Source organism: Homo sapiens, chromosome 14, assembly GCF_000001405.40.
Source record: "Homo sapiens chromosome 14, GRCh38.p14 Primary Assembly".
NCBI classification, from domain to species: domain Eukaryota; kingdom Metazoa; phylum Chordata; class Mammalia; order Primates; family Hominidae; genus Homo; species Homo sapiens.
Window position 1 is genome coordinate 50,889,442 of NC_000014.9, and position 27,785 is coordinate 50,917,226.

Here is a 27,785-nt window from a genome sequence, read left to right on the forward strand (position 1 = left end):
ATCCTGGCCAACATGGTGAAACCCCGTCTCTACTAAAAATACAAAAATTAGCTGGGTGTGGCGGCACGCACCTGTAGTCCCAGCTACTCAGGAGGCTGAGGCAGGAGAGTCGCTTGAACCCGGGAGGCAGAGGTTGCAGTGAGCTGAGATCACGCCACTACACTCCAGCCTGGCGACAGAGTGAGACTTCGTCTCAAAGAAAGAAAAAAAAATCTATTGTGTAGACTATCCTAACTTTATAATCTTATTCTATACCTAATGCTCAATTGTTTAGAGTTGTACGTACGTGTAAACGTTAGCAAATGAGAGGTGGGGAGAGAGAGAGAGCGAAAGTCTTAGAGGGATACATGGCCTCAATTTAATAATTATTCTACATTGTTGTTTCATACTGTAAGACATCTTGGAGTATGTTACTCTAACAACTTTAGGAATTTTTTTGTACAATAAGCCATCATAGATAGAATTCCATCATAGACAGAATTTCTGAAACTTACTTAACTATTTTCAGGGAAAAGTAGCTCACCACTTTCTAGGACAGCGAGTTCACATAATCACATACTCTTGAAAATGGCTTTAATATCTAAGTTTAACTAAATATAGGAATCCCCTCTACACTGCAAAATACTGAATGCTGAGTAATTTCAGATATAATAAATATTTTCAATTGGTTCTAGAAACTGAACATTCATTTTAATATAATATAACCATTAATTGCATATCTATCATATTACTCTAAGTCATTACTAATAAATTCATTAAATTGTAGGTATGTAACATAAGTCAAATACAATCTTTTTATTTAGTTTGTTTTTAAAAATGTGTTAATGTTGAAATTTAGCGAAATAAGGAAAATACATGATTTAATGAGCAATTATAAACTGAACACCCATGTAACTATTACCTACGTCAAGAAATGAGCATCACCCACACTCTAGAAGTCTTCTGTATATTACTTCCCAATCCAGTAAGCCTTATTTTAGATGTAATCCTTAGTCCTTAGATGGAATTCTTAGATGAATTTTACGGTAATCATGTCTATGCATTTATTTATAGAGTTACCACCTGTACATGCATCTCTGAGCAATATTGTTTTGTCTGTGAACTTTATATGAAAGTAAAATTATATAGAATATATTTTATTTTTTTCACCCAACATTATATTTGTGGGATTGTATTCATGATGTGCATAGTATAGCTGTAGGTTGGTTATTTTCATTGCCATATACTATTCCATTGTATGTACATACCAAAATTTATTGATCTATTGTGTTGTTTATTATATTTGTATTACTTTCAGTTTGGGGAAATTAACAATATTGTTGTTATGAATGTTCTTGAACCTGTATTCTGTAAACATGTACAAGAATTTCACCGGGGTATACCCTAGGAGTAGAATTGTGGGGTAATAAGGTATCCATATGGCCAGCTTTAATCATTACAGTGCAAGTTTTCCTAAATGACTTTACCACTTTACTCTCTCACCAATCCTGTATGAGAGCTCCAGTTGCTTCAAATCCTTGCCCTCATATTGATATATCAATATGGTTGTAATTTGCATTTCCCTTATAACCAGTGAGGTTGGGCAACTTTTAATATGTTTATTAGCCATTTGGATATCATCTTTTGTGAGGTACTGGTTCATGTCTTTTGCCCATTTTTCAGGTAGATTTTATTTCTTTTTATTTGTTGAATTTCTTCATAGATGCTGGATATGAGTCATTAGAACATTATTTTTATTGTAAATATATTGTATTATTTTGTTTTGTCTTTTCACTTTCTTAATGATATGTCATGATAAAGAGACGTTTCTTTTTTTTTTGAGGTAGAGTCTGGCTCTGTCGTCCAGGCTGGAGTGCAGTGGCGTGATATCGGCTCACTGCAAGCTCCGCTTCCCGGGTTCACGCCATTCTCCTGCCTCAGCCTCCCGAGTAGCTGGGACTACAGGCGCCCGCCACCATGCCTGGCTAATTTTTCTGTGTTTTTAGTAGAGACGGGGTTTCACCGTGTTAGGCAGGATGATCTCAATCTCCTGACCTCGTGATCCGCCCACCTCGGTCTCCCAAAGTGCCGGGATTACAGGCGTGAGCCACCGCGCCCAGCTGATAAAGAGAGATTTCTAAATTTAATGTGGACCAATTTACCAATATTTTTCTTTATGGTAACTTTTATGTCATTTATAATAAAACTCTGCTTACCCAAAGATTATCAAGATACTCTTCTATGTTGTCTTCTGGAAACTCTATTTTACCTTTTACATGTAAAGTTATAATCCACAGGTTTAGATTTTTGTATGGAGGCAGGGGTCCACATGAGTGTCTAATTGGTCTAGAGTCATTTATTAAATGGACCTTCCCCACCACTATGCAGTGCTAATGTTTGCATATATCAGTGTCTATACATATAGAGAGAGGTCTGGTGGTAGGTTCTCATTTCTCTCCATTGTCTATCTGTCAATCTTAATATACTATGGTCTTTTAATTACTATAGCTTTATAATATGTCTTGATATCTGGTTGTATAAGTTCCTCAGCTTTGTCTTCTTATTCAGGATTGTCTTGGCTATTCTTAACGCTTTGCATTTCGGTATACATTTTGAAATACACTTGTCATGTTCTACAGAAAACTTGCTGGGACTCTGGGATTGCATTGGATCTATTTGGGGGACTTGAGATAAATTTGGGGGACTTGGTATCTTTCTAACATTGAGTCTTCAAATTCATGAGTATTGTGTTTTATTTATTATTTATTTATTTAATTTTACATTTATTTCTCATTTAGGTTTTGTTTAGTTTCAGTTTTAGGTCATATTCTCCTAGAAGCAAAGCCTGAGACAGAGATTTGGTGTGTTTGATTTATTGAGGAAATGTTCTTCAGGAAAAAATCCAAAAGGGAATGAGGGTAGTAGCACTGGAAAGGGGGAAGAGCAGAACAAGGACGTGACCTCAGGCAAAGTCTAGCTTTGGCCTGATTCAGGCGGGGTGCTAAGCTTTGAAGCAAAGGGCCTGTTGTTTCTGCCCTCCGCTAAGGTAGGCAGTGGAGGAGGGGCGGGAGGATGGCGTAACCTCTTAGGAGTGATGGCTTCTGTCATCTAAGAATAAGGAGAAGCAGCCAACACTCACAGCAGAAGTTAATTAATTTTGTCAGTCTTTTCAAAGAACCAGCTTTGACTTTATCTTCTGTGTTATATGGTTTCTATATTTTTAATTTCTGGTTTTACCTGTATTATTCCCTTTCTCATATGTTCTTTGGATTTAAGTTGTTATTTAAAAATTTCTTTAGATAGTACTTAATACCATCTAATAATTTATTTTTACTATTTTTTTCTAATTTATGTACTAAGGCATACTTCACCTAAACCACACTTCAGCCGCAACCAAATTTTGAAGTGTGTTCTAATTATCATTTAGTTCAAAATATTTTATAATATTATTGTGATTTCCTCCTTGACTATATGGATTATTTAGAAGTATGATTCATAACTTCTATGCATTTGGGCATTTGATTATGATTTTTATTGATTTTTACCTTAAATCTCTCAAGATCCAAGAATATACTGTGTATGATTTTAGTCTTTTGAAATTTGTTGAGACTCACTTTGTGTACCAATGTATGGTCAATTTTGGCAAATTTTCCATATGCTTGAAAAGAATGTGTTCTGCTGTTTTTCATGCAGTGTTCTATGTACGTCGATTGAATCGGGATTATTAACCATGCTTAAATTTGTCAGGCCTCTGAGCCCAAGCCAAGCCATCGCATCCCCTGTGACTTGCAGGTATCTGCCCAGATGGCCTGAAGTAACTGAAGAATCACAAAAGAAGTGAATATGCCCTGCCCCACCTTAACTGATGACATTCCACCACAAAAGAAGTATAAATGGCCGGTCCTTGCCTTAAGTGATGACACTACCTTGTGAAAGTCCTTTTCCTGGCTCATCCTGGCTCAGAAGCTCCCCCACTGAGCACCTTGTGACCCCCACCCCTGCCCACCAGAGAACAACCCCCTTTGACTGTAATTTTCCATTACCTTCCCAAATCCTATAAAACAGCCCCACCCCTATCTCCCTTGGCTGACTCTCTTTTCGGACTCAGCCCACCTGCACCCAGGTGAAATAAACAGCCATGTTGCTCACACAAAGCCTGTTTGGTGGTCTCTTCACACGGACGCGCATGAAATTTGGTGCCGTGACTCGGATCGGGGGACCTCCCTTGGGAGATCAATCCCCCATCCTCCTGCTCTTTGCTCCATGAGAAAAATCCACCTATGACCTTAGGTCCTCAGACCGACCAGCCCAAGAAACATCTCACCAATTTCAAATCCGGTAAGCGGCCTCTTTTTACTCTCTTCTCCAACCTCCCTCACTATCCCTCAACCTCTTTCTCCTTTCAATCTTGGCACCACACTTCAATCTCTCCCTTCTCTTAATTTCAATTCCTTTCATTTTCTGGTAGAGACAAAGGAGACACGTTTTATCCGTGGACCCAAAACTCCGGCGCTGGCCACAGACTGGGAAGGCAGCCTTCCCTTGGTGTTTAATCATTGCAGGGACACCTCTCTGATTATTCACTCACGTTTCAAGGGTGTCAGACCACGCAGGGACGCCTGCCTTGGTCCTTCACCCTTAGCGGCAAGTCCCGCTTTTCTGGGGAAGGGGCAAGTACCCCAACCCCTTCTCTCCTTGTCTCTACCCCTTCTCTGCTCTTCTGGGGGAGGGGCAAGTACCCCTCAACCCCTTCTCCTTCATCCTTAGTGGCAAGTCCCGCTTTCCTGGGGCAGGGGCAAGTACCCCTCAACCCCTTCTCCTTCACCCTTAGCGGCAAGTCCCGCTTTCCTAGGGGGCAAAAAACCCCCAATCGCTTATTTCTGCACCCTGACCTCTTATCTCTGTGCCCTAATCCCTTATTTCCGTGCCCCAACCCCTTCTCTGCTTTTCTGGAGGGCAAGAACCCCCCCACCCCTTCTCCATGTCTCTACTCTTTTCTCTGGGCTTGCCTCCTTCACTATGGGCAAGCTTCCACCTTCCATTCCTCCTTCTTCTCCCTTAGCCTGTGTTCTCAAAAACTTAAAACCTCTTCAACTCACACCTGACCTAAAATCTAAATGACTTATTTTCTTCTGCAATGCCGCTTGACCCCAATACAAACCGACAGTAGTTCCAAATAGCCAGAAAATGGCACTTTGAATTTTTCCATCCTGCAAGATCTAAATAATTCTTGTTGTAAAATAGGCAAACGGTCTGAGGTGCCTGACGTCCAGGCATTCTTTTACACATCAGTCCCTTCCTAGTCTCTGTGCCCAGTGCAACTCGTCCCAAATCTTCCTTCTTTCCCTCCCGCCTGTCCCCCCAGTCCCAACCCCAAGCGTCGCTGAGTCTTTCTAATCTTCCTTTTCTACAGACCCGTCTGACCTCTCCCCTCCTCGCCAGGCCGAGCTAGGCCTCAATTCTTCCTCAGCCTCTGCTCCTCCACCCTATAATCTTTTTATCGCCTCCCCTCCTCACACCTGGTCCTGCTTACAGTTTCGTTCCGTGACTAGCCCTCCCCCACCTGCCCAGCAATTTACTCTTAAAAAGGTGGCTGGAGCTAAAGGCATAGTCAAGGTTAATGCTCCTTTTTCTTTATCCCAAATCAGATAGCATTTAGGCTCTTTTTCATCAAATATAAAAATCCAGCCCAGTTCATGACGTGTTTGGCAGCAACCCTGAGACACTTTACAGCCCTAGACCCTAAAAGGTCAAAAGGCCATCTTATTCTCAAAATACATTTTATTAGCCAATCTGCTCCCGACATTAAATAAAACTCCAAAAATTAGATTCCGGCCCTCAAACCCCACAACAGGATTTAATTAACCTCGCCTTCAAGGTGTACAATAATAGAAAAAAGTTGCAATTCCTTGCCTCCACTGTGAGACAAACCCCAGCCACATCTCCAGCACACAAGAACTTCCAAACGCCTGAACCGCAGCAGCCAGGCGTTCCTCCAGAACCTCCTCCCACAGGAGCTTGCTACACGTGCCGGAAATCTGGCCACTGGGCCAAGGAATGCCCGCAGCCCGGGATTCCTCCTAAGCCGCGTCCCATCTCTCTGGGACCCCACTGAAAATCGGACTGTTCAACTCACCTGGCAGCCACTCCCAGAGCCCCTGGAACTCTGGCCCAAGGCTCTCTGACTGACTCCTTCCCAGATCTTCTCGGCTTAGCGGCTGAAGACTGACACTGCCCGATCGCCTCGGAAGCCCCCTAGACCATCACAGACGCCGAGCTTCCGGTAACTCTCACAGTGCAAGGTAGGCCCGTCCCCTTCTTAATCAATACGGAGGCTACTCACTCCCCATTACCTTCTTTTCAAGGGCCTGTTTCCCTTGCCTCCATAACTGTTGTGGGTATTGACGGTCAGGCTTCTAAACCTCTTAAAACTCCCCAACTCTGGTGCCAACTTAGACAATACTCTTTTAAGCACTCCTTTTTAGTTATCCCCACCTGCCCAGTTCCCGTATTAGGCTGAGACACTTTAACTAAATTATCTGCTTCCCTGACTATTCCTGGACTACAGCTATATCTCATTGCCGCCCTTCTTCCCAATCCAAAGCCTCCTTTGCGTCCTCCTCTTGTATCCCCCGACCTTAACCCACAAGTATAAGATACCTCTACTCCCTCCTTGGTGACCGATCATGCACCCCTTACCATCTCATTAAAACCTAATCACCCTTACCCCACTCAACGCCAATATCCCGTCCTGCAGCATGCTTTAAAAAGATTAAAGCCTGTTATCACTCACCTGCTACAGCATGGCCTTTTAAAGCCTATAAACTCTCCTTACAATTCCCCCGTTTTACCTGTCAGCCCTGAGAAACATCGCCCATTCTCCCTCCATACCACCCCCCAAAAATTTTCACCGCTCCAACACTTCAACACTATTTTGTTTTATTTTTCTTATTAATATAAGAAGGCAGGAATGTCAGGCCTCTGAGCCCAAGCCAAGCCATCGCATCCCCTGTGACTTGCACATATACGCCCAGATGGCCTGAAGTAACTGAAGAATCACAAAAGAAGTGAAAAGGCCCTGCCCTGCCTTAACTGATGACATTCCACCATTGTGATTTGTTCCTGCCCCACCTTAACTGAGTGATTAACCCTGTGAATTTCCTTCTCCTGGCTCAGAAGCTGCCCCACCTTAACTGAGTGATTAACCCTGCGAATTTCCTTCTCCTGGCTCAGAAGCTCCCCCACTGAGCACCTTGTGACCCCCGCCCCTGCCCACCAGAGAGCAACCCCCTTTGACTGTAATTTTCCATTACCTTCCCAAATCCTATAAAACGGCCCCACCCCTATCTCCCTTGGCTGACTCTCTTTGCGGACTCAGCCCGCCTGCACCCAGGTGAAATAAACAGCCATGTTGCTCACACAAAGCCTGTTTGGTGGTCTCTTCACACAGACGCGCATGAAAAAATTTTGTCTATTGTTACTGGTTTTTTGGACTGCTTGCTTTTTCAGTTACTCAAAGAGGATTATTAAAGTACCTCATCATGATTGTGGAATGGTTTATTTCTATTTTAGTACTGTTAATTTTTGTTTTAGTTTTTTTGAGGTTATGTTGTTAGGTACATAAGCCTAATAATATTATGATTTAGTTTAGTTTTTTTTTTTTTTTTTTGAGATGGAGTTTCACTCTTGTCACCCAGACTGGAGTGCAGTGGCGTGATCTCAGCTCATGGCAACCTCTGCCTCCTGAGTTCAAGCTATTCTCCTGCCCCACCCTCCCAAGTAGCTGGGATTACAGGCATGTGCCAACACACCTGGTTAATTTTTTGCATTTTTAGTAGAGACAGGGTTTTACCATGTTGATCAGGCTAGTCTTAAACTCTTGACCTCAGGTGATCCACCTGCCTCAGCCTCCCAAACTGCTGGGATTACAGGCATGAGCCACCATTCCCAGCCTATGATTTAGTTTTCATATCTTCCAGGTGGATTTATCATTTTCATCATAAAATGTCCACCTTTTTTGTGATCAATATTGCTTCTTGACTTAAAGTCAACTTTGTCCAATATTTGTATATCTTTGTTTTGATTAGTGTTTGCATGGTATAGGTTTTTCTATCACTTGATCTCAACAGGACATAAATAGGAGGTATAAAGTTAACAGGGATTTCTACGGGTCTCTTTGGAATCAGTTTTGTTACTCAGAATTGAAAGGCAGCATGATGTTGTGGAAAAGAGTATGGGCTGTGGAGCCACTCAGACTTGGGTTCAAATCTGTCCTTGGCCACATACCCTTTGTGACCTTGGTAAATTGTTTCTCCCTAAGTTTTCCCATTTTTTTACCAAGGGGTTGGCGAAGACCACTGCACAGGGTTGTTGTGAAGACTGAATTAAGTAAGATAATGTATGTAAAGTACCCAGCTGCTAGTAAGCACTAGACAAATACTTGTTCCTTTCCGTCCCTCTTTCTGTTACAAATTAGGCTAAAGTGTTATGTATGGCAGGAAAAGGCAGGGAGAATTCAAGGCAGGGAGAATTACTGAAGAGAGAGGCTTTGCTCACAGGTGTGGCCAATGAAGACTTCAGAGCCTATTGGACCTAAGCTTCTTTCTTGAAGGTGAGGGAAAGCAGTTAGGAAACAGAGCGAGGAACAGGTGAATGTTAACTCAGACCCCTGGCAGGAATGGGGCTGTTCTACGTTATAAACTGCCTGAGAGTTAATAGAGGACTTCCACACAAGTCTTTCGCACTCGTTATTCTTTTAAATCCTCACAGCAACTCTCTGAGTTTGTCATCATTGCTTCCACTTAGAGATGAGAGAAATGGAGACCTATAGGTTTGCCTAATTGTCACATATCTTATAAGAAGAAGAAATGAGACTCAAACCTACATCTTCTAATTGCAGGCAGATAGACTGGAGGTGAGCAGGGTTTGGAATGAAAGATTGTGGCCAGATGTGCATGGGCTTGCTGTCTAGTTGTTGTTTTCAGTAGATAGTGTGGCATGCCCAAAGCTTCGTAACAGCAGATTTAATATAACTGGTATTTTAAGGATGTTTATCTGGTGGTGTTACAGAAGAGAGAGGAAGGTAGGAAGACCAATTAGGAGAGCCCATTGCCATGGTCTAGGCTGGAGGGGAAGGTATGACCTGTGAGTCTCAAAGGGCACTCCTGGCTGGAAGGGAATGAGGAATAATGAGAGTAGATTGACCGGGGCTTGCTTTCTTCCTACTCTTTCAGAATTTGAGATGAATTGCTGAAGGACTTCTCTTACTGAATTCTCCTCAGGGGAGTCTTAATTCCAGGGGTGAGAGTACCAGAAGACAAAAGAGAAAACAAAACAAGAAATCTTGCCCTTAGCATGGAAGAGGAGGGAGAAGAAAGAGAAGGAAAGGCTGTGTCAGGAAGTCCAGAGCACACCTGAATGCAGATCAGTTGCTATGAGACCAGGCCAAAAAGTTCAGGCCAGACAAATCCCACAGAACCAAGGAGATTCCAGCTGGGCACGGTGGCTGGCGCCTGTAATCCCAGCACTTTGGGAGGCCGAGACGGGTGGATCACCTGAGGTCAGGAGTTCAAGACCAGCCTGGCCAACATGGCGAGACCCTGTCTCTACTAAAAATACAAAAATTAGCTGGGCATGGTGGCAGGTGCCTGTAATCCCAGCTACTCGGGAGGTTGAGGCAGGAAAATCACTTGAACCCGGGAGGCGGAGGTGCGGTGAACCGAGATCGTGCCACTGCACTCCAGCCTGGCCAACAAGAATGACACTCCGTCTCAAAAAAACAAAACAAAATAAAACCAAAAACCAAGGAGATTCCTGGGGGAATAGCAGGCCTAAGCCAGAACTATGAAGCAGCAATTTGTATTTAGTGGCACTGGCTTACCTATTTTATACCCATTTCCTTACCACATTCCCTAAAATGACATCAATTACTTTCTAAAATCAGAAAAATTGTATTTAAGTTTATTCTATTTAGAAAGTCTCTATTCTATTATTACAGTTCATAGTAGGAGACTATTAACAAATGACATTATAGCCATGGGGCAAGTTTTAATTTCTTTTTCTTTTTAAAAAATTGTGAAGCAGAAGTTTGTATTTATTGGGTCCAACCTCCCTATTCTGTGCCTATTTCCTTCTCTTGGCCATGTCCCATTTACTACCCCCTCTACCCCTCCTCTCTCAGGCACAACACGAAAATGTATAATACTTTGCTTATTTTTCCTCTTTGCAAATTTATTGCAAAGATTTGTAATCCCAGCACTTTGGGAGGCTGAGGCAGGCGGATCATTTGAGGTCAGAGTTCGAGACCAGCCTAGCCAACATGGCGAAACACCATCTCTACTAAAAATACAAAATTACCTGGGCGTGGTGATGCATGCCTGTAGTCCCAGCTACTTGGGTGGCTGAGGCAGGAGAATTGCTTGAACCCAGGAGGCAGACGTTGCAGTGAGCCAAGATTGCACCACTGCACTCCAGCCTAGGCAACAGAGTGAGACTCTGTCTAAAAAAAAAAAAAAGAAAAAAAAAATTTAAATCTGGGCCAGGCACTGTGGCTCATGCCTGTAATCCCAGCCCTTTGGGTGGTCAAGGCCAGAAGATGGCTTTGAGCCCAGGAGTTCAAGACCAGTCTAGGAAACATGGTGAAACCCCTTCTGTACAAAAAAATTAGTTGGGTGTGGTGGCACACCCCTGTAGTCCCAGCTACTATGGAGGCTGAGGAGGGAGGACTGCTTGAGCCCAGGAGTTTGAGCGCTGCAGTGAGCCATGAGCATGCCACTGCACCCACTCCCAGTCTAGGCAACAGACTGAGACCCTGTCTCAAAATAAACAAACAAATAAATAAAATAAGTAATATCTGAAATTCAATCATACTAAATGAAAATGACAGATAATAACAAAGTGTACGCCAGGGATATTTGCACAATAGACTCATTTTGTCTTTAGCAAATATTTATGAAGTGTCTATTATGTACCAGGAACTTTTCTAGTTTTTGAGGACACCACAGGGAATAAGAAAGTTGTGGTCCATTTACCTACGAAGTTCATATTGTTGATGGAGAAACAGATAGAAGATAAATACATTAAAAAAGAAATCCAATAGTGAGAAGTTCTGTGAAAGCACCAAAATAATGTGATGGAGAATGACTGGGTGGTGGGGGCAAGGTTTGGTAGCTGGTTATGGAAAACAGCTCCGAAGAAATAGCATCTGAGCTGAGACCTGCCTGAGATGAAGCCAGCTGATGGGAAAATATAGAGATCTCAGGCTGGGGTAAAAGTAAAGGCAAGCGCCTTGAGGTGGGATCAGGCCTGACATGTTCCAGAAGCAGAAGGCAGCAGAGCCAGGAGGTGGACAGGAAGGTGCTTAGTGATAGGAGATGAGGCTGGAGAGGGAGGCAGGAAGCCGCCGGATTCTTCAGGGCCTTGGAGGCCAAGGTGACATGTTCAGGTTTAATCCAATTGCCTTTGGAGGGTGTTAAGCGAAAGAGTGCTACGATCTGATTTGCACGTTAAAATAATCATTCTGGTTTTCCTGTGGGAACTGGATTATGGAAGGGTGAAGGCAGAATCGGGGAGCCACTTGGAATTGCAGCTTAGTATAAGCAAGAGATGAAGGGTGGCTTAGGCTAAGTGATAGTGGGGATGGGGAGAAATGAATGGGTTTAGGATATAGTTTTGGAGGCAGGATTCAAAGTTTGTGAGAAAGGTGCAATATTGCTCAGGATTTTTATCCTTTACTCCTTATTTCCAGATAAAACGGATATTTCTAGGGCATATAAACTAACTTACATGTTGACTATGTGAGTCAAAACATTGTAAAAGTGGATTTAGCTAGCATTCTATTTCTTGGATTTTGCTATTAAACAACAAATTTAGTATGTCTAGAGTGAGCATTGTTATATCTGGAATCCTGTGGTCATTGTTAAAAACTAAAATGTCTTTTAAGGCATTGGCATATTAAATCATATTCAAAAGTTTGTAATGTTCAAATTCTCTAAAATCAATTTTCTATGTATTGTATATTTTCATCAGAATTTTTGACTAATCAGAATATTCTGTCCACCAACTAAACCAGTTATGTTCACAATAGAAGCAATTTTAGGTTTTGCATACCACTGCTTCTACATGGAGAAGTAAGAGTTAGTTGTGCCATTTTTAGGAAGTGAAAACAAAATGTTAACAATGATGGTCTATGATGGCAGAATTATGTGTGCTTTGTTTCTTCTACATTCCTTTCTTTTTTTCCAAATTCCCGACGTGCATTACTTTTTAAATCGTAGAAGTTTTTTGTGAAGTTTACCTTACTTAGAGAAGCACTACTCTCTGTGTTACCCTGGTTCATAGTGAAAGACTATATAACAGATGGCATAGCTATGGGGCAAATATTAATTTTTTTTTCTTTTTTAAAAATAGATTTACCGGAACATTCCAGGATTTTTACGTACACTTATGGATGCCCTGAGAAAAGACAAAATAATCTTTCCTAATGATGAAAAGTAAGTTAATGATGAAAAGACATGCATTATTACTGTATCTAAAGGATTCTAGGGGCAACTATCATGTGACTTACTGGATGGTGACATGAGACATCCTGAATATCATTCTTATTCTTAGAATATTGTTCTGCGCTTCTTAGATGGGCACTAAGATTTGGGTAAAGTATCTATGAATTTTTAGTATTTGCTATTTTCCTCATGTCTAATTCAATGACTTCACCAATTCAGTACTCTCTCTGAATTCATAAACGAAGTTGTATATCTATAGCCTATCAAGACCTTTTAAAGGGCTTGGTAGTGTTAGCGTATGCCTATAATCCTAGCACTTTGGGAGGCTGAAGTGAGAGGATAGCTTGAGCCCAGAAGTTTGAAACCAGCCCGGGCAACACAGGGAGACACCATCTCTACCAAAAAATTTTAAAATTAGCCAGGCGTGGGGGCACGTGCCTGTCATCCCAACTACACGTGAGGCTGAAGTAGGAGGATCACTTGAGCCTGGGAGGTTGAGGTTGCAGTCAACTGTGATTGTGCCACTGCACTCCAGCCTGTGTGACAGAGTGACATCCTGTAAAACAAACAAACAAACAAAAAACCAGCCTAACATTTCTTGAGGCATCTCTGACTTCTAGGCCCTTTTCCCCATATAATGAAAACTCGTCTACCATCCACCTTACTAATGTGACAGCAAATCCAATGACTAGAATTTATCAAGTTAGCCTGTTACAGTTAGAGAATTTAAGAATGCTTCCAAATAGACAGTTGTCAATATATTTTTCTATGTCAACACACTTGAGAAAATCCAACATTCTCAGGGGTGTCAGTGAGTCACTGTGGCAGAGATGGATGGGTATCAGAATTTTGGGGGGACAGGGAAGCATTGCTTGAGAAAGTAACTAGAGTGGGAGACAAGACATTCTTCATGCCATAGCCCTTTTGAATTAGCAAACTAGGGGGTTGACCAGGAAGCTAATCAGACCTGTTAACTGCACGTCCATCCTCTACATTTATGGAGAAAAGTAAACAAATTGCTACAAAGAGGTCTCTGATTCTGTCATAGTTTTTGTTTTATTGAGGTTTTGAGTTTTGTTTTCTTTTTTAGTCTTTTAATAAAATATTTCAGATGTTACAAAATAGGTGGAGTAAAGAAGAATATAAGGTTCTTCTAACACTGTACAAAATCAGTGTTTCAGTGTTTTTTGTTTTTTTTTTTTAGTATTTCCAAAAATCATGCAGAAGTAAATTAATTAAACAGCCAGTTAAATTGCATGAGTAAATGGGAGAGAGGGAAACTTGCATGGAGAAAAAAAGCTACTATGTGAAATTTTTAAATGTATGATATTGTTATTCCTTGGAAGGAAGGAAAGAAATTTCTTGTAATTTAGACAGGCCTCATGTTTTGCTAAAGCTTTAACTTAGAAGAGGAGAAATCTCAATGTATCATTCTTTAACTGAATGCTTTTCTTCTACTTGTCCCTAGTGTTAAATTCCTTTCTTCTCCTCTTCTCATCTTACATGGAGAGGATGACAGGACAGTGCCTTTGGAGTATGGGAAAAAGGTAAACTAAGGGCTCAATGCTGACTGAAATATACTATACTCATTTCACCATTTTTTTCATTCAGCCAAACTTTGATTAGAGCCGAAAGGAGGGTCTCTGACATTATAGGAGATTCTCTACACCCCTAAATAGCCTCTATAGGTTTATAAAATGGGTATCAGCATCCTTGGCTACTTAGCTCAAAGGAGTGTTTGTGGCAGAGCCTGGCTCCTCATCTGGATTGTGTGGAGCTGCAAGTGTAGGGTATCCCAGGCTGCTGTGGGAACCTCCATGTCGTCTCTACTGTAGTGGCTCTAAAATGGAAGACGCAGACTTTTTCCTTTTAAACAAACTTCTACTAGAGTGGGTCCATAACAATTCCTTGGCATTTTGCAGGGAGGTTCAAGCAGGGAAGGATGAGGTTTTATCAGTATTCTATATTAGCTGAGCAGCATTCAGATCTTTAGCTGTAGAGACAGGCAACTGGGACATGGAGAGTTTTCTGTCTCTGACTTAATGGAACAAACTCCCCAAGTTAGCTGTTTCTGTACACTTTTAGGGAAATTGGACTAGAAAAATCTACAGCTTTGAATGGCCATCCTTTGAGTCTCTTTCTGTCGCTTGCAGCTCTATGAAATTGCACGCAATGCATACAGGAACAAAGAGAGGGTCAAGATGGTTATCTTTCCTCCTGGCTTCCAACACAACCTGCTTTGTAAAAGCCCCACACTGTTAATAACCGTGAGGTAAGAGTTGCTTTGCTAAATGTATGTTGCCCTTCAAGGCAATTAGGGCTGCTCTGGCTTACTTAGGCCACAACATGAAAATGTATAATATTTTGCTTATTTAGGTAGGGAAAGGGTGTGAGCTGATCTGGGTCCTTTTTCTACAGAGATTTCCTGAGCAAGCAGTGGTCATGAGTCTGGGAGGAGTGGAAATCTTCAATGAAGACTTGGCCCAAACACCACCTGTGATGTATATTGTTCTAATGTAAAATTGTACTGGGCTGGTCGGATGAGCTGAGGCCATTGACTTCTCTACAAATCACTTGCCATTTTAACAACAGAAAGTACGAATGTTAGGCAGTATGGAATGTTCTTATTTAGCTTATCATAATCTACTTTGTAAAACATGCTGAAACCTCACTGTGGAGAACCAGAATTTGGTAAAATCTAGATCCTATCTAAAAATATGTAGTTATTAAACATTCTGTGGATATTTGTGAATAAGGTAGTTGCTATGGTCCGAATATCTGGGCCTGCCCCCCCAAATTATGCTGAAACCTAATCACCAGTGTGATGGTAATAGGAGGTGGGACTGAGCTCTGATGAATGAGATTAGTGCCCTTATAAATTATGACCAAAAGAGCTCTTCACTCCTCCTACCATTTGAGGATACAGTGAGAAGCCTTCATCTATGAACCACAAAGTAGCCCTCATCAGACACTGAATCAGCCAGTGCCTTGCTCTTGGACTTCCCAGCCCCCAGAACTGTGAGAAATAAATTTCTGTTGTTTATAAGCTACCCAGTTTATGCCATTTTGTTTTAGTGGCCCACAGGGACTAAGACATTGGTCTTTGGTTTGGACTCAGATAGCAGTGTAAGAAAGTTGCTTCTACATAGTTAAGTTTTTTGTATTTTAGTTTAGTTCATTTAAATGGCATTTGAAAGTTCTAAGCAGTTTTCTAATTTTATGACTAGTTTTGGGGTAAATCCTAGCAGTAGCAAAGCATCACTAGATTTGCTATAAAATAAGTTTTGGCACTCATGTAGCCCTTGGAAATTGACACTTTATTTTTAAGCTCTATTACATATAATTTCCCTCCCCATTCCCAGAGATACTCAACTATTATAGATTATTAGCTAACAAAACAAAAACCAGTGAATGTTGTAAAAATGTTCAAGTTCAGTAAGAAGCTATGTTTTCTAGAGACAATTCTAGAGTTCAATTTCCATTGACTTTGTTAGATTCATTGGATAGAGAAATCTTTAGATCTGAAGGTTCCACGTTCCAGATGTTTTGGGCATATTCTTTAATTGTTCGGTCACTGGAGAATTTCCCCGAGGCAGCTATGTTTTTGAGTACCATTGTGTTCCAGGCCTTTGGATTCTGTAAACAACATATGCATATACAGCCCAGAGTCCCAGTGCGCAGTGAGCTTTATAATAAACATCAGCCAAGCACATCCAAACACATTTCATGAGGGAAAATGACAGGAATAAATTATAGTAAATTACAAATATTCTTGTTTGTCTGTTGAGAGGTAGAATAGAATGCACTTTTCTCATATTTAGAGTATAATTCTCTTAGGAATGAAAAAAAGGTATTTTTCACTCTAAGAGAAACCATGGATGTACATTGCCTAGTTGGCAATTCCTGCTATGGTTACAATGTTTTGGCATGTAAGCCATATTTCCCATGCTTTCTTATGAATGAAGATGCTTCCCTTTAAACTATAGGGGAGGAATCCATTGTCTGCTAAATGCCATGTCAAGAGACTTATCCTATGGCTCATAGAGTTTGAAAAACACTACTCTAAAATGTTAGCTATAATGCAGGCAAACAATTCAATGAGAGGCTTTATTGACCTACTTAGCTTTTCTTGTTCTTTCTGAAGATACGCACCCTAGTAGGCTTACACTGAGTCCCAAACACTCCACTGGGGCTTCAAAACAGGGTCAATTGAGTCTTTATCCTTAATAAAAATATATCAAAATCTCATAATTTTTATATAAAAGAATATGATAAGAAGGAATTTATTTTATAGCCTCTTAATTTTGTAAGGAACTCTAAAAGTGTATTGGAAGTGAACAGAACATTATTCAAAAATGTTATCAATGCATTATAAATGCTTACGAGAAAGACTAAAACTACCATCATTCCTTAAGGTACAGCAAAACAGCATCTGAAATTTGTTTATTCAGACTTTGGAAGCTTCCTGTAATAAGAGGAGGATAAAAGCTTTCTCTCTTCATTTTCTTTAACTATTTAAATGGATAATGAATAGACTTCCCAGTCATATGGGTCATGTTTACTAAGTCTCAACAATACAATCATTGTTAAGAGTAAAAAGCTGCAATTAGCACTAATGAACAAGAAAGACCGAATCAAATGCTGGGTTTCTAGATGAGCATCGTTTGGATTTGGGCCATAATTTTAACAGAGGAGACATTCACATTTGTCCTTGCCCTTGTTCATATTTTTCTTTCCTGTGCTGTTTTATTGATCTGTCTTGAGGTGGCCGTTCTCTTCCCTGTGTCTTTGCATTCTTGCGGCCTGTATATGGCTTTTCTCTCCAATGTACAGGAAGCAGGTAGTGAGCCCCTGAGCTTAGCTCTAGCACTGCCCTGCTTGTTTGTAGCCATTAACTTGAACTTATTCTGGTCTATATGCCACTGGGGGACTGGCCATTATTCTATTAGAAGATAAGGGCTGTAAAGCAGCACAGGCGTTGAATGATCCTTTTTAAAATCCCAGTGGGACATTTAGGATGACAGTAGGAACTACCCTTTTATCTGCCTTGGGAAAGGAGTAGAAAGAAATGTTAGTAAAACCCACCCTGGAGTCTTGGCACAGAGCTAGCCCCCTCCAGTATCCATTCCTCTAGGGTATCTGAAATTCACTAAAAGTCTCTCCTATCAGAGATGATCAACCTTTTTACATATTTACAAAACACAGCTAGAGAGTTGTTTGATAAAGCGTATAACTTTGCATGCAGAGGCTTATTCACATGGCTCTACCCATCCCTTTTTTTTCCCCTCAGTATAGTATTGTCTTCCTTATTCTTCTTTCTTTTTTTAAAAATTCAATTATGAACACCTTTCTCTTTCTACGAATTTATATTCTATTGATACAGCCCCCTCCATGAGAAGTCCAGAAGAGGTACCTATTTTGCAATTTTCAGAGAATAGGGGTCAGTCCTTATCTTAAAAAACCATGTTTTAGCCTTAGAATCATCATGGCAGGTTTCTCAAATACTGATGACCCCACCCATTACTGGGAAAGAATCTCTCAGTGCGGGGGCTGGCATCTGTACTATGATGAAGCTACCTTGGTGATTCTGATGTGTACCTCTGGTTAAGAATCTCGATGTTCAAACAGGCTCCTTGAGGGAGGGGAGGGAGGGAGAGACCTCAACTTTGCTCATGCTGTGTTCTCAGTGCCAGCACAGTGCCCGGCATAAAAAAGACGCCTAATGCCCCTCTGAGGCTTTATTTCCTTAGCTTCCAGGACATGTCTGCTACAGAGTGGGTGCTCAAAAAATATTGAATTATTTGTGACTTTTAAAAAACTTGGATATTAAAAAATTTACAACTGGCTGGGCATGGTGGCTCACACCTGTAATCCCAGCACTTTGGGAGGCAGAGGCGGGTGAATCACCTGAGGTCAGGAGTTCTAGACCAGCCTGGCCAACACGGTGAAACTCCATCTCCACTAAAAATACAAAAATTAGCTAAGTGTGGTGGCACGTGCCTATAATCCCAGCTACTTGGGAGGCCGAGAGGTGAAGGTTGCAGTGAGTCAGGATCACGCCGCTGCACTCCCGTCTGAGTGACAGAGCGAGATCTGTCTCAAAAAAAAAAAAAAAAAAAAATTACAACTCCTGCTGAAATGTCAAATCTCAACCTTGGCCTGAACTTGGGAAAAGACAAGGTTTTTTTTTTTGTTGTGGTTGTTTGTTTGTTTTTGTTGTTTTTTTTTTGATTGCTTAATGGGGATCTGATATTACATGGGGATCTGATATTTGCATTTAATTAAAAAACCCACATTTTAATGAATCATAGTAAACTGGTTTTCTTTATAAATCTTGGCAATTTACTCACCATGTACAGCTGACTCACTTTATCTTGACACTTGACATAGGCTTCGTAGTCTGCAAAGACTTTAAACCTTTTATTTTGTGAGTGGAAGAGGAAAAAAACAGTCAAAATCTTCATTAATAGATATATGCTAAAATTCCATGTAAAATCATCTTTTGCTTAATATCAGGCATGGCTGGTTTACCAAATTCATATTTCTGTTTGTAAGACTTTTAACCAGCCCTCAACCTTCTTATGGTTCTCACATGTGAGAATGTCATCACTGGGATGCATTTGGAAGTTGGGAATATCAGTGGAAGGAGAAAAAGAGAACCAGATTTGTGTGTGTTATTCTTAAACCTTACTGGCATCGCTGGTGGAGAATATCTAACTTTTTCCCCAAGCCTAAACTACCTGAGCAGATCACGCTAATCTATGCTAATCTACATGAGTGGGTTTAAGTTGGTTTAAGATTGGTTTAAGATTTTCTTGTTGGTTTTAGAGTTGGTTGGTTTAAGATTTTCTTGTCCCCCTTTCATGATCCAAATAGCACCATCTTCTTATGGGAACTCACCTGTCATGATAAAATAGCATGTTGATGATATCTTTGAAGAGGTCAGGCTGCTTGGGAGAAAAAAAGCCATTGTCAATTTGATCAATGACCAGCTTCAGCTCTGGAAGTGCCTCATAGTATTCTTTTGCCTCGTACCTGTGGGGTAGGGGTGGGTGGGTGATAAAAAAAGGCTCTGTTATTGTGTTGTGTGATTAACAACACACTAGACACTGCATTCACTGTGAAAAAATACATTCAGAAATACTAGCATTCAAAGACTTCATTATAGATTTCACCATGAGTATATATAACTTTTAACTAGATCTGTAAGTTTTTCTTCCTGTAAATTTGATTCCTTATAACCAAAGACACTAAGAACAATAGATAATGAAAACTCTAGTCAAACATCAAGAGTCTGATGTGGTAGAATACAGCAAGGTCCATTTCAAAGCAGACTTTATGGCTTTAAATGAACATTGTATTAAGTAGATCAGTTGCTTTTTGGATCCACAGATTCTCAAAAGTTGTTGCTACTGAGTGAAACTGACTTCCAAGGGTCAGGAAGTATATTCAACATCCTCCAAATGTTACTTCTTTGGGCAGTACTCTTTATTTTGTGCTTGAACTCAGGTTAATAAACCCATCCAGATATGAAGTGAAAATAAATGTTTCCAATTACTTCTGTACACCCGTATCTATTCTCTATCACATTTTAGTGCATTTCTTTGATATCTTAAAGGAGCACTAGATCATGATTTAAATTATAGGCAACCCTTCCAACTAGAAACTGGTTCATCTTTTGATCAAAGTAAAAATCATACATACGGAGGAAAAATAGCTCTTTGAGGCCAGCTCTGCAATGGCCGATAACAAATAGCAACTCCTCCATGTGTCTGTACTTTTATTTGCTGGGTTTAATAATATTAATCTGTGGCCAGGAGGCTCTCCTGCCTCATCGTGGGAGATGTTCTGCTGCCACCTCTTATGTGATCCAATTTCAGTGGGATATCGGTGTGGGCAGGAAGCCCTCTGAGGTCACATACCTTCTAGGGGGGAGGGGCAGTCCTGCCTAGCAAAGAGAAGCTATTCTCTTACCCTTTCTTGTCCAAAGCAGCCACATCATCTATCCTCATGCCAAAGATGAACAGGTTCTCTTCCCCAGCTTCTTCTGCCATTTCCACATTGGCCCCATCCATGGTCCCGATAGTTAGGGCCCCATTTAGCATGAACTTCATATTGCCTGTCCCCGAGGCTTCGGTGCCTGCAGTGGAAATCTGCTCTGACAGATCTGTGGCTGGAATGACTGCAAGAAAGGTAAGTTAAAATTAGTAATTTTGTCTGTCTAGATCTGCTTGTATTGTATTGAAGCATTTATTAAGTTGGGCTGTTTTGATAATTAAAGTAATACATGCACATTAAGATAAACATTCAAATGGTCTAGAAGGCAGATCACACTCTTTCCCCTTGACTCAGGCAACCACTTTTGTCCATTTTATATGCTTGTATTTCTTTCTCGAGCTATAAACTTTGAAGAGTATCTATTGACTGCGACAAACATTGATACTACATTTCTCTTCTTCCTTTTATTCCTTCCAATTTTTGTTACAGTTTTATTTTTATTTCTTCTACTTTATAAAATATATTGAAATTTCTCTTTTTTTCTTTCTCTTTTTTGGTACAGGGTCTCTCTCTGTCACCCAGGCTGGAGTGCAGTGGTGCGATTACAGCTCTCTGCAGCCTTGACCTCCTAGGCTCAAGCAATCTTCCTGCCCCAGCCTCCCAAGTAGCTGCAATTACAAGCGAGCACCACCATGTCCAGCTAATTTTTTAAAATTTTTGTATGTATGGGGTCTCCCTATGCTGCCCAGGCTGAACTTCTCTCTCTTGATCCATAACATTCAGAGTGTCCCTCCAGGACTCCTCTTTGGCAACCTGAGGAGACTGGATTGTCTGCATTCCTTCTACTTCTCACCTCCTTCCTTCCACTTTTCCTGCAGGGAAATAAGCCACACGTAATTGAGGTGTGCCTGGGGCTAGACATCTAGCCTCTGACCTTTCAGGCTGATTTGCACGCAAATTAGAGCTGCCTGAAGCACTTCCTTTGACTACAAAGGTCAGGACCACTTTTCTGCTTTACTGTGAGAGCTTATTTGTGGATTAGATGTATCTTCTTTTGCATCCCTAGGAACCTGGCTCTTCTCCCTTTATGCAGAGAGTTCTTAAACAGTAACATCAGAGGACCTAAAAACACCACAAAAAGAAAAAGCTCCCTTTCTACCTTTTCAGTTTGGGAAGTGGGTGAATACACAGTTGGGCATTTGCATGTGGATGGTGCTCTGTGAGCTTGTGACCCAAATAACCAAAGGTCCCAGTGGAAGAGAAAGGGACACTGGCTTCTTGCCCATCTGGCTGTCCCCATGTGGGAGCATCATGCTTGATGCTGAAGTGCCCATGTGAGGCACATCTAAGCCTCGTGCTTTGGCAGCCTCACATCTGCCCTCATTTATTATTGATACAAGAGCAAGTGACAGCCCTTCTTCTCACAGGGTGACCAAAGAAATATCTGAAGACTGGGGATTTGGTGTTCTCTTGCAAAACTGGGGCTGGGAACTGAAGACCTTTCCTCTGTTTTATAGAGCGGGTTCTGAATGATGCTGAAACCCCAGGGCTGCCTCCCCCAGCACATAGCTCTCACTGGCTTGGAAGAAAATGTACTTGCAAGTATAATCCTGTGATACTGACTCCAGGACATCAATTTCATTGTGACTTGGGTCACTTTAAAACCTCTTACCGTAGGCCCTTATTCTGCACAAGAGTGACACCTTCTATCCTAAGTTACTAGCTCCTGGAGGTTGGCTGCCCCATCTTTCATACCATGTAATCTCTAGAGTTTGCCCTGGCCCCTGCATATTTTGCAATGAGGGTAGTACCTTTTTCAGCAAGAGATACTCTGTAGTTCTCCAAGAAGATGACTTTCAACTTGCTTCCAACCATAGGGTCATTGTTCACCACATCTGCCACTGAAGTGATCAGCTTTATGATCATTTTGGCCATGTGATATCCTGGGGCAGCCTTTGGGGAAGAAGGTCAAACGCATTGACAGAAGGCAGCCATGATGAAGTAGAAGAATGGCAAGAGATTAGAGCCCTCAAGTCCCCATTGAATAGATTCAACTTACTTTACCACCAATGATAACTGTCCTTGGCACGAATAACTTCTTAGGGTCTTTCTTAATGCCTGAAAAAGATGGAGAAGTGGATGAAATGGAAGACAGCTGACGGTCAGGGCAGTGAGACCTATGCTGAGTCTGCTGCTTCCACCTGCAAGGGGGCTTGTTGGCTACAGGGCTGACTCACGGTTGTACATCGTGATCACATGCAGACAGTTCAAGAGCTGTCGCTTGTACTCATGTATCCTCTTCACCTGGACATCAAACATGGAGGATGGGTTGATCTTCACTTTGTACTCCGTCTCCAGGAACTGAGAAAACTTCAGCTTATTCTCCTGTTAAGACAGTGCATGGTGCCAGAGCTCTTTTGGCCTAGAAGAATTGGGTGGTCTGGTTTTTCTTTTTTTTGAGACGGAGTCTCACTCTTTTGCCCAGGCTGGAGTGCAGTGGCATGATCTCAGATCACCGCAGCCTCCACCTCCCACATTCAAGCGATTATCCTATCAGGGATTACAGGTATACACCACTACTGCCTGGCTAATTTTTGTATTTTTAGTAGAGACGGGGTTTCATCATGTTGGCCAGAGTGGTCTTGAATGCCTGACCTCAGGTGATTCACCCTCCTTGGCTGCCCAAGTGCTAGGATTACAGGGATGAGCCACCGCGCCCGGCTGGGTGGTCTGTTTTTAAAAACTACAGGATAGGCCGGGTGTGGTGGCTCATGGCTGTAATCTCAGCACTTTGAGAGGCCGAGGCGGGTGGATCACTTGAGGTCAGGAGTTCGAGACCAGCCTAGCCAACATAGTGTAACCCTGTCTCTACTAAAAATACAAAAATTAGCCGGGCGTGGTGGCGGGCGCCTGTCATCCCAGCTGCTTGGGAGGCTGAGGCGGGATAATCGCTTGAACCTGGGAGGCGGAGGTTGCAGTGAGCCGAGATCGTGCCACTGCACTCCAGCCTGGGCAACAGAGCGAGACTCTGTCTCAAAAAATAAACAAAAACTACAGGATAAACTCTCACAGTGAGTGCCCAGGAGGGGACCCACACCTGGAAGGCTCACCTGCTTCACCTTGGCGAGTTCCCGGAGGAAGACATCATCACCCAGGAAGCTGTGGAGCTTCGTCAGCTGGCTCAGGTCTTTCACATAGTCTTCTCCAATTTTCTTTCAATTCAAAGGAAAAGATGACTTCAATTTGGGGATGGTAATCAAGTCCAAATGGGCAGTTTCTGTCAGTATTTCTCTCTGTCACCTACCACAGTGTAGTTCACGTATCACACAGAACATGGGATAGTTTGACTCAAAGAAGAGTCTATAAAGTCTATGTGAGAAGAACACTTTTGCTAGTATCTTAAATGTAGTTTCAGCAGTTTTTAAAAATTATTTTTATTTATTTATTTTTATTTATTTATTCATTTTTTTTGAGATGGAGTCTCGCTCTGTCGCCCAGGCTGGAGTACAGTGGCACGATCTCGGCTCACTGCAAGCTCCGCCTCCTGGGTTCATGCCATTCTCCTGCCTCAGCCTCCCCAGTAGCTGGGGCTACAGGCGCCTGCCACCACGCCTGGCTAATTTTTTTTTGTATTTTTAGTAGAGACGGGGTTTCACTGTGTTAGCCAGAATGGTCTCGATCTCCTGACCTTGTGATCTGCCCTCCTCGGCCTCCCAAAGTGCTGGGATTACACGTGTGAGCCACTGCACCCGGCCTAAAAATTATTTTTATTTTTATTTAATTTTTTTGGCGACAGGATCTCACCCTGTCACCCAGGCTGTAAAGCAATGTCGTGATCATAGCTCACTGCAGCCTTGACCTCCTGGGCTCAAGCAATCCTCTTGCCTCAGCCTCTGAGTAGCTAGGATTACAGGTGCATGCCACAACACCTGGCTAATCTTTTTATTTTTGTAGAGACGGGTGGTGGTGGTGGGGGTGGGTCTCATGTTGCCCAGGCTAGTTTCAAACTCCTGGCCTCAAGTGAGTCTCCTGCCTAGGCTTCTCAAAGCACTGGATTACATGCATGAGCCATCACACCCGGCCAGCTTCACTGGTATTAAAGTGTTAAAAACAGGAAATCTACTTATAAGAGTGACCAGGAACCCAGGTTCTGTTAGTTATTTATATGAGCTTTATTATCCTCTTTTACTAGAGAAAACCATCTTCTATGTGAGTGTCCTATGAATACTGTTAGCTGCAACTAGCTACATAATTTGCAGGACCTTTTGTTCAAAAATTAAGAATTTCAAGATGACGGCTATGTGTGATGGCTCATGCCTGTATTCCCAGCACTTTGGGAGGCCAAGGAGGAGCAGATAACCTGAGGTCAGGAGTTCAAGATCAGCCTGGCCAACATGGTAAAACCCTGTCTCTACTAAAAATACAAAAATTAGCTGGGCATTGTGATGTGTGCCTGTAATCCCTGCTACTCGGGAGGCTGAGGCAGGAGAATTGCTTGAACCCAGGAGGTGGAGGTTGCAGTCAGCAGAGATTGCACCACTGTACTCCAGCCTGGGTGATAGAGTGAAACTCTGTCTCAATAATAATAATAATAATAATAATAAATAATTTCAAGATGACTACAGCAGAGAATTAAACCCAGCATGGAGTCCTGTGTGACTGCACAAACCACATGCTGAGGAAGCCAGCCCTGCTGCAGACTGGATTTATAAGTTACAAGTATAGTCATATGCCTCTTGCATTCGAGTCAGGCCTCCTTTCCTCTCAGCACTTCCCAGTTACCTCTGCTATGAGCTCTGCAAGTCCTGGGTTGCAGAGTAGGAGCCAGCGCCTTGGAGTGATCCCATTGGTTTTATTCTGAAACTTGTCAGGTTCTAGCTCACTGAAGTCCTTGAATCTGGAGATGGAGGAGACACATCACTGAATTTGGCTGAAACGGCAAAGGGTCCTGCACACTGGACAAAGTTCGGAGTTATATTCAAGAAGCCAAGTGCAGGCTTAGAAAGGTTAAATAAAGGTGGAGGGACAGGCTGACAGTAGCTATGGCTGTCATTTAAATAGAAATTCATTTGCAACTCAAAAGAATTACCAGAAAAATTCCAAATCTAGTCACTTCCATCTGACTTCTTCACACTGACATATATACTACACTTTCAGTAGAATAGTTTTTGGTATTTTGTTTGTTTGTTTGTTTTGGCTCCTATGTCTAGAATTAAGATGGCTCTGAGAGGAAAGCATTCTTTTCTTTCCTTTTCTTTTCTTTTTTTTTTTTAGGCAAGAGTTTTTTGTATAGAAGAAAATACTTTTAAACATTTGAACAAGGCCTTTCCTCATCCCTAAGTGCAACCCTGCATTTAGTAGCATCATTCCATTAATGGATCAGTGTCAGACCCACTGCCAGAGTAATGGAGGCTCACACTTTAGTCTTCACGATGTCTGAGTGGATTTTAGCCACGCCATTCACAGCATGGGAACCGACAATGCAGAGATGGGCCATGTTGATCCTTTTGCTTCCTTCCTCTTCTATCAGAGACATCCTTCTCAGACGGTCCACATCTTTAGGAAACAAGGCCACAATTCTCTAGCCAAAGGAAGAGAAAGCCCTTGCTGGTCACTCAGGTTTAATGCAACATTGGGATAACGCTGTTCATGTCTTAAGCAAAATCTTTGGTGTACTCAATATAAACTTCACTACCACAGGGAGGGGTTGAGTTAGCTCTATGGAGGTGCCATCCCTCCATTTCAGCACTTTCAAAAAGCTGCCTTTGTTGGAGCCCCGTTCGGACTTGAGTACTTTTGCTGTATCAATGATTGAAAGATGTTTGGTAAGAGGGAACACTGTAGCCATCTGTAACACCTTAAGATCTTATGCTCATGAACAGAGAAAATCTCTCAAAATGACTTACATCTAAATGCTTCTGATTTATCTCATAAATGATTTCCAAATGTCGAGGGAGCAGCTTCTCCACCAGGTCCACGGGCCAGCGCTCCAGGGCTTCCGGGAGCACTGTGTGGTTGGTGTAGGCGAAGGTCTTCTGGGTGAGCTCCCATGCCTGGGGGAAAGGAAGGAGTCAGCTGCTTGCCCTGAAGGTGGGCACCCCACTGCACGGGCCAAACCCTTCTTCAACCCTGCCCTGTCTGCAACAGGACCATTCCAAGTGTGCATAGTCAGAGCACTCAATTCCACTAAGTTCCTGAATAGTCCAGATAATAGAAACATGTTCTGGGTGTGAGGGGGAAGCCATTTGTAAAGCTACTGGTGAAACTTAAGACAGCATTCTGATCAATCTATCTACTATCCTTATGTGTCTTTCACTTATTAAATACACAGATTGAGGGATAAAAACGTAAATAGTGCTCTCAGCAAGTACAAAGTATGTAAAATGCTGACTTCTAAAGCTATGGGGACACTCAATTAGCTGTCTTCTGAGGTTAGATAATTTAATTTTTAATCTTTTTCAACACAAAAATGGTAAACACAATATAAGCCTTAATATAGCTATTGATTTGTGTCCCATTAGGAATGTGCTCATTTATTTTATAGTCTTACTCCCTATAAAACTCTAAGGATGGAAAATGTCAGCGTCAGGGAAAATATACCTTTAACTGTTGAAAGTTAGCAACAATAACTTACTTTGAAAAACTAAAAAGGGAGTTTTTGGCAGTCTTTCAACTGCAGCCATTCTGGTTAATTAAAGGAAAAAGAAGCCAAACTATCCAGACCTTGGACCAGGGCAGTTTTTCAATATCCACAAAAATCCTCATCAGCTCAGGGATCGCGAGTGCAGGGTGAGTGTCATTCAGCTGGATGGCCACCTGGGTGGGGAAAGACATCAACATGAAGGCAACGGATGGCTCAGGGTCTGGCTTCTTTGTCCTAACACATCTGGAGAAAGCACTGATATGCCCACCTTCTATGAAAGACTTGATGCACACTATTCCTGCTCAACGTTGTTAGCACTGAGAGAGAGGAATTAATCTGATAGGAAATCCCAGTCAATCCCTCAGTGGACCCTAACTGCATCCACAGACTAAATACTTGCCTGATCCGGGAAGGCATCAAACACAGTTCCTGCACCACGGGTGGAGCCAAACTTGGAGGCTTTGAAACGGCGGATGATATCTTGCAAGGTTGCAGCCACCACAAAGTATTCCTGCTTCAATCTTAGCTCCTTCCCTTCAAAAAACTTCAAGCCAGAGAGATAGAATAAAAATGGTTCATATTGTAGGTGTGGCCAAAATGTGACTGGTGTCTCCTGCACTAGGAACTTTAAGACTAAGGCCCATTGGACATCTGCTGAGGGGTGG

The 27,785-nt window shown here is 42.0% G+C and overlaps 2 protein-coding genes across 9 annotated transcripts in view, besides 4 other annotated features; one reads left to right on the forward strand and one right to left on the reverse strand.

The window, feature by feature from the left end:
- Positions 1-15,529, forward strand: part of ABHD12B (abhydrolase domain containing 12B) — a 32,918-nt gene extending 17,389 nt beyond the window's left edge. For 4 of the 7 annotated variants that reach the window (NM_001206673.2, NM_181533.4, NM_181814.2 and 1 more), the window contains 4 exons: positions 12,388-12,470; positions 13,948-14,026; positions 14,633-14,751; positions 14,898-15,529. In NM_001206673.2, coding sequence (NP_001193602.1) covers positions 12,388-12,470; positions 13,948-14,026; positions 14,633-14,751; positions 14,898-14,925 — 309 coding nt within the window. In that variant the 3' untranslated portion in view covers positions 14,926-15,529. Of the gene's footprint in view, positions 1-3,771; positions 7,400-12,387; positions 12,471-13,947; positions 14,027-14,632; positions 14,752-14,897 lie in introns of those variants that run through there. The other 3 variants (XM_017021031.2, XM_006720052.2, XM_011536472.2) reach the window with 2 other exon arrangements.
- Positions 3,539-4,361: an enhancer, noted in NCBI's record as "OCT4-NANOG-H3K27ac hESC enhancer chr14:51359698-51360520 (GRCh37/hg19 assembly coordinates)". NCBI's record gives its function as "activates a minimal SCP1, AML or CMV promoter by ChIP-STARR-seq in naive H9 embryonic stem cells {active_cell/tissue: H9 hESC(naive)}" and the evidence as "EXISTENCE:reporter gene assay evidence [ECO:0000049][PMID:30033119]".
- Positions 6,830-7,653: an enhancer, noted in NCBI's record as "OCT4-NANOG-H3K27ac hESC enhancer chr14:51362989-51363812 (GRCh37/hg19 assembly coordinates)". NCBI's record gives its function as "activates a minimal SCP1, AML or CMV promoter by ChIP-STARR-seq in naive H9 embryonic stem cells {active_cell/tissue: H9 hESC(naive)}" and the evidence as "EXISTENCE:reporter gene assay evidence [ECO:0000049][PMID:30033119]".
- The window catches only part of PYGL (glycogen phosphorylase L), a 39,267-nt gene continuing 27,257 nt past the window's right edge, over positions 15,776-27,785 (reverse strand). For both annotated transcript variants that reach the window (NM_001163940.2, NM_002863.5), the window contains 13 exons: positions 27,521-27,664; positions 27,201-27,293; positions 26,384-26,530; positions 25,895-26,058; positions 25,260-25,374; positions 23,588-23,689; positions 22,715-22,862; positions 22,537-22,595; positions 22,289-22,430; positions 20,454-20,661; positions 19,380-19,514; positions 18,830-18,896; positions 15,776-16,115 (listed from right to left, as the gene is read on the reverse strand). In NM_001163940.2, the coding sequence (NP_001157412.1) occupies positions 15,951-16,115; positions 18,830-18,896; positions 19,380-19,514; positions 20,454-20,661; positions 22,289-22,430; positions 22,537-22,595; positions 22,715-22,862; positions 23,588-23,689; positions 25,260-25,374; positions 25,895-26,058; positions 26,384-26,530; positions 27,201-27,293; positions 27,521-27,664 (1,689 nt within the window). In that variant the 3' untranslated portion in view covers positions 15,776-15,950. The remainder of the gene's footprint in view (positions 16,116-18,829; positions 18,897-19,379; positions 19,515-20,453; positions 20,662-22,288; positions 22,431-22,536; positions 22,596-22,714; positions 22,863-23,587; positions 23,690-25,259; positions 25,375-25,894; positions 26,059-26,383; positions 26,531-27,200; positions 27,294-27,520; positions 27,665-27,785) is intronic.
- Positions 20,827-22,026: an enhancer, noted in NCBI's record as "BRD4-independent group 4 enhancer chr14:51376986-51378185 (GRCh37/hg19 assembly coordinates)". NCBI's record gives its function as "activates an origin of replication core promoter dependent on BRD2, P300/CBP, MED14 and CDK7 cofactors, and independent of BRD4, by STARR-seq in HCT116 cells {active_cell/tissue: HCT116}" and the evidence as "EXISTENCE:reporter gene assay evidence [ECO:0000049][PMID:35650434]".
- Positions 21,155-21,759: an enhancer, noted in NCBI's record as "OCT4-NANOG-H3K27ac hESC enhancer chr14:51377314-51377918 (GRCh37/hg19 assembly coordinates)". NCBI's record gives its function as "activates a minimal SCP1, AML or CMV promoter by ChIP-STARR-seq in primed H9 embryonic stem cells {active_cell/tissue: H9 hESC(primed)}" and the evidence as "EXISTENCE:reporter gene assay evidence [ECO:0000049][PMID:30033119]".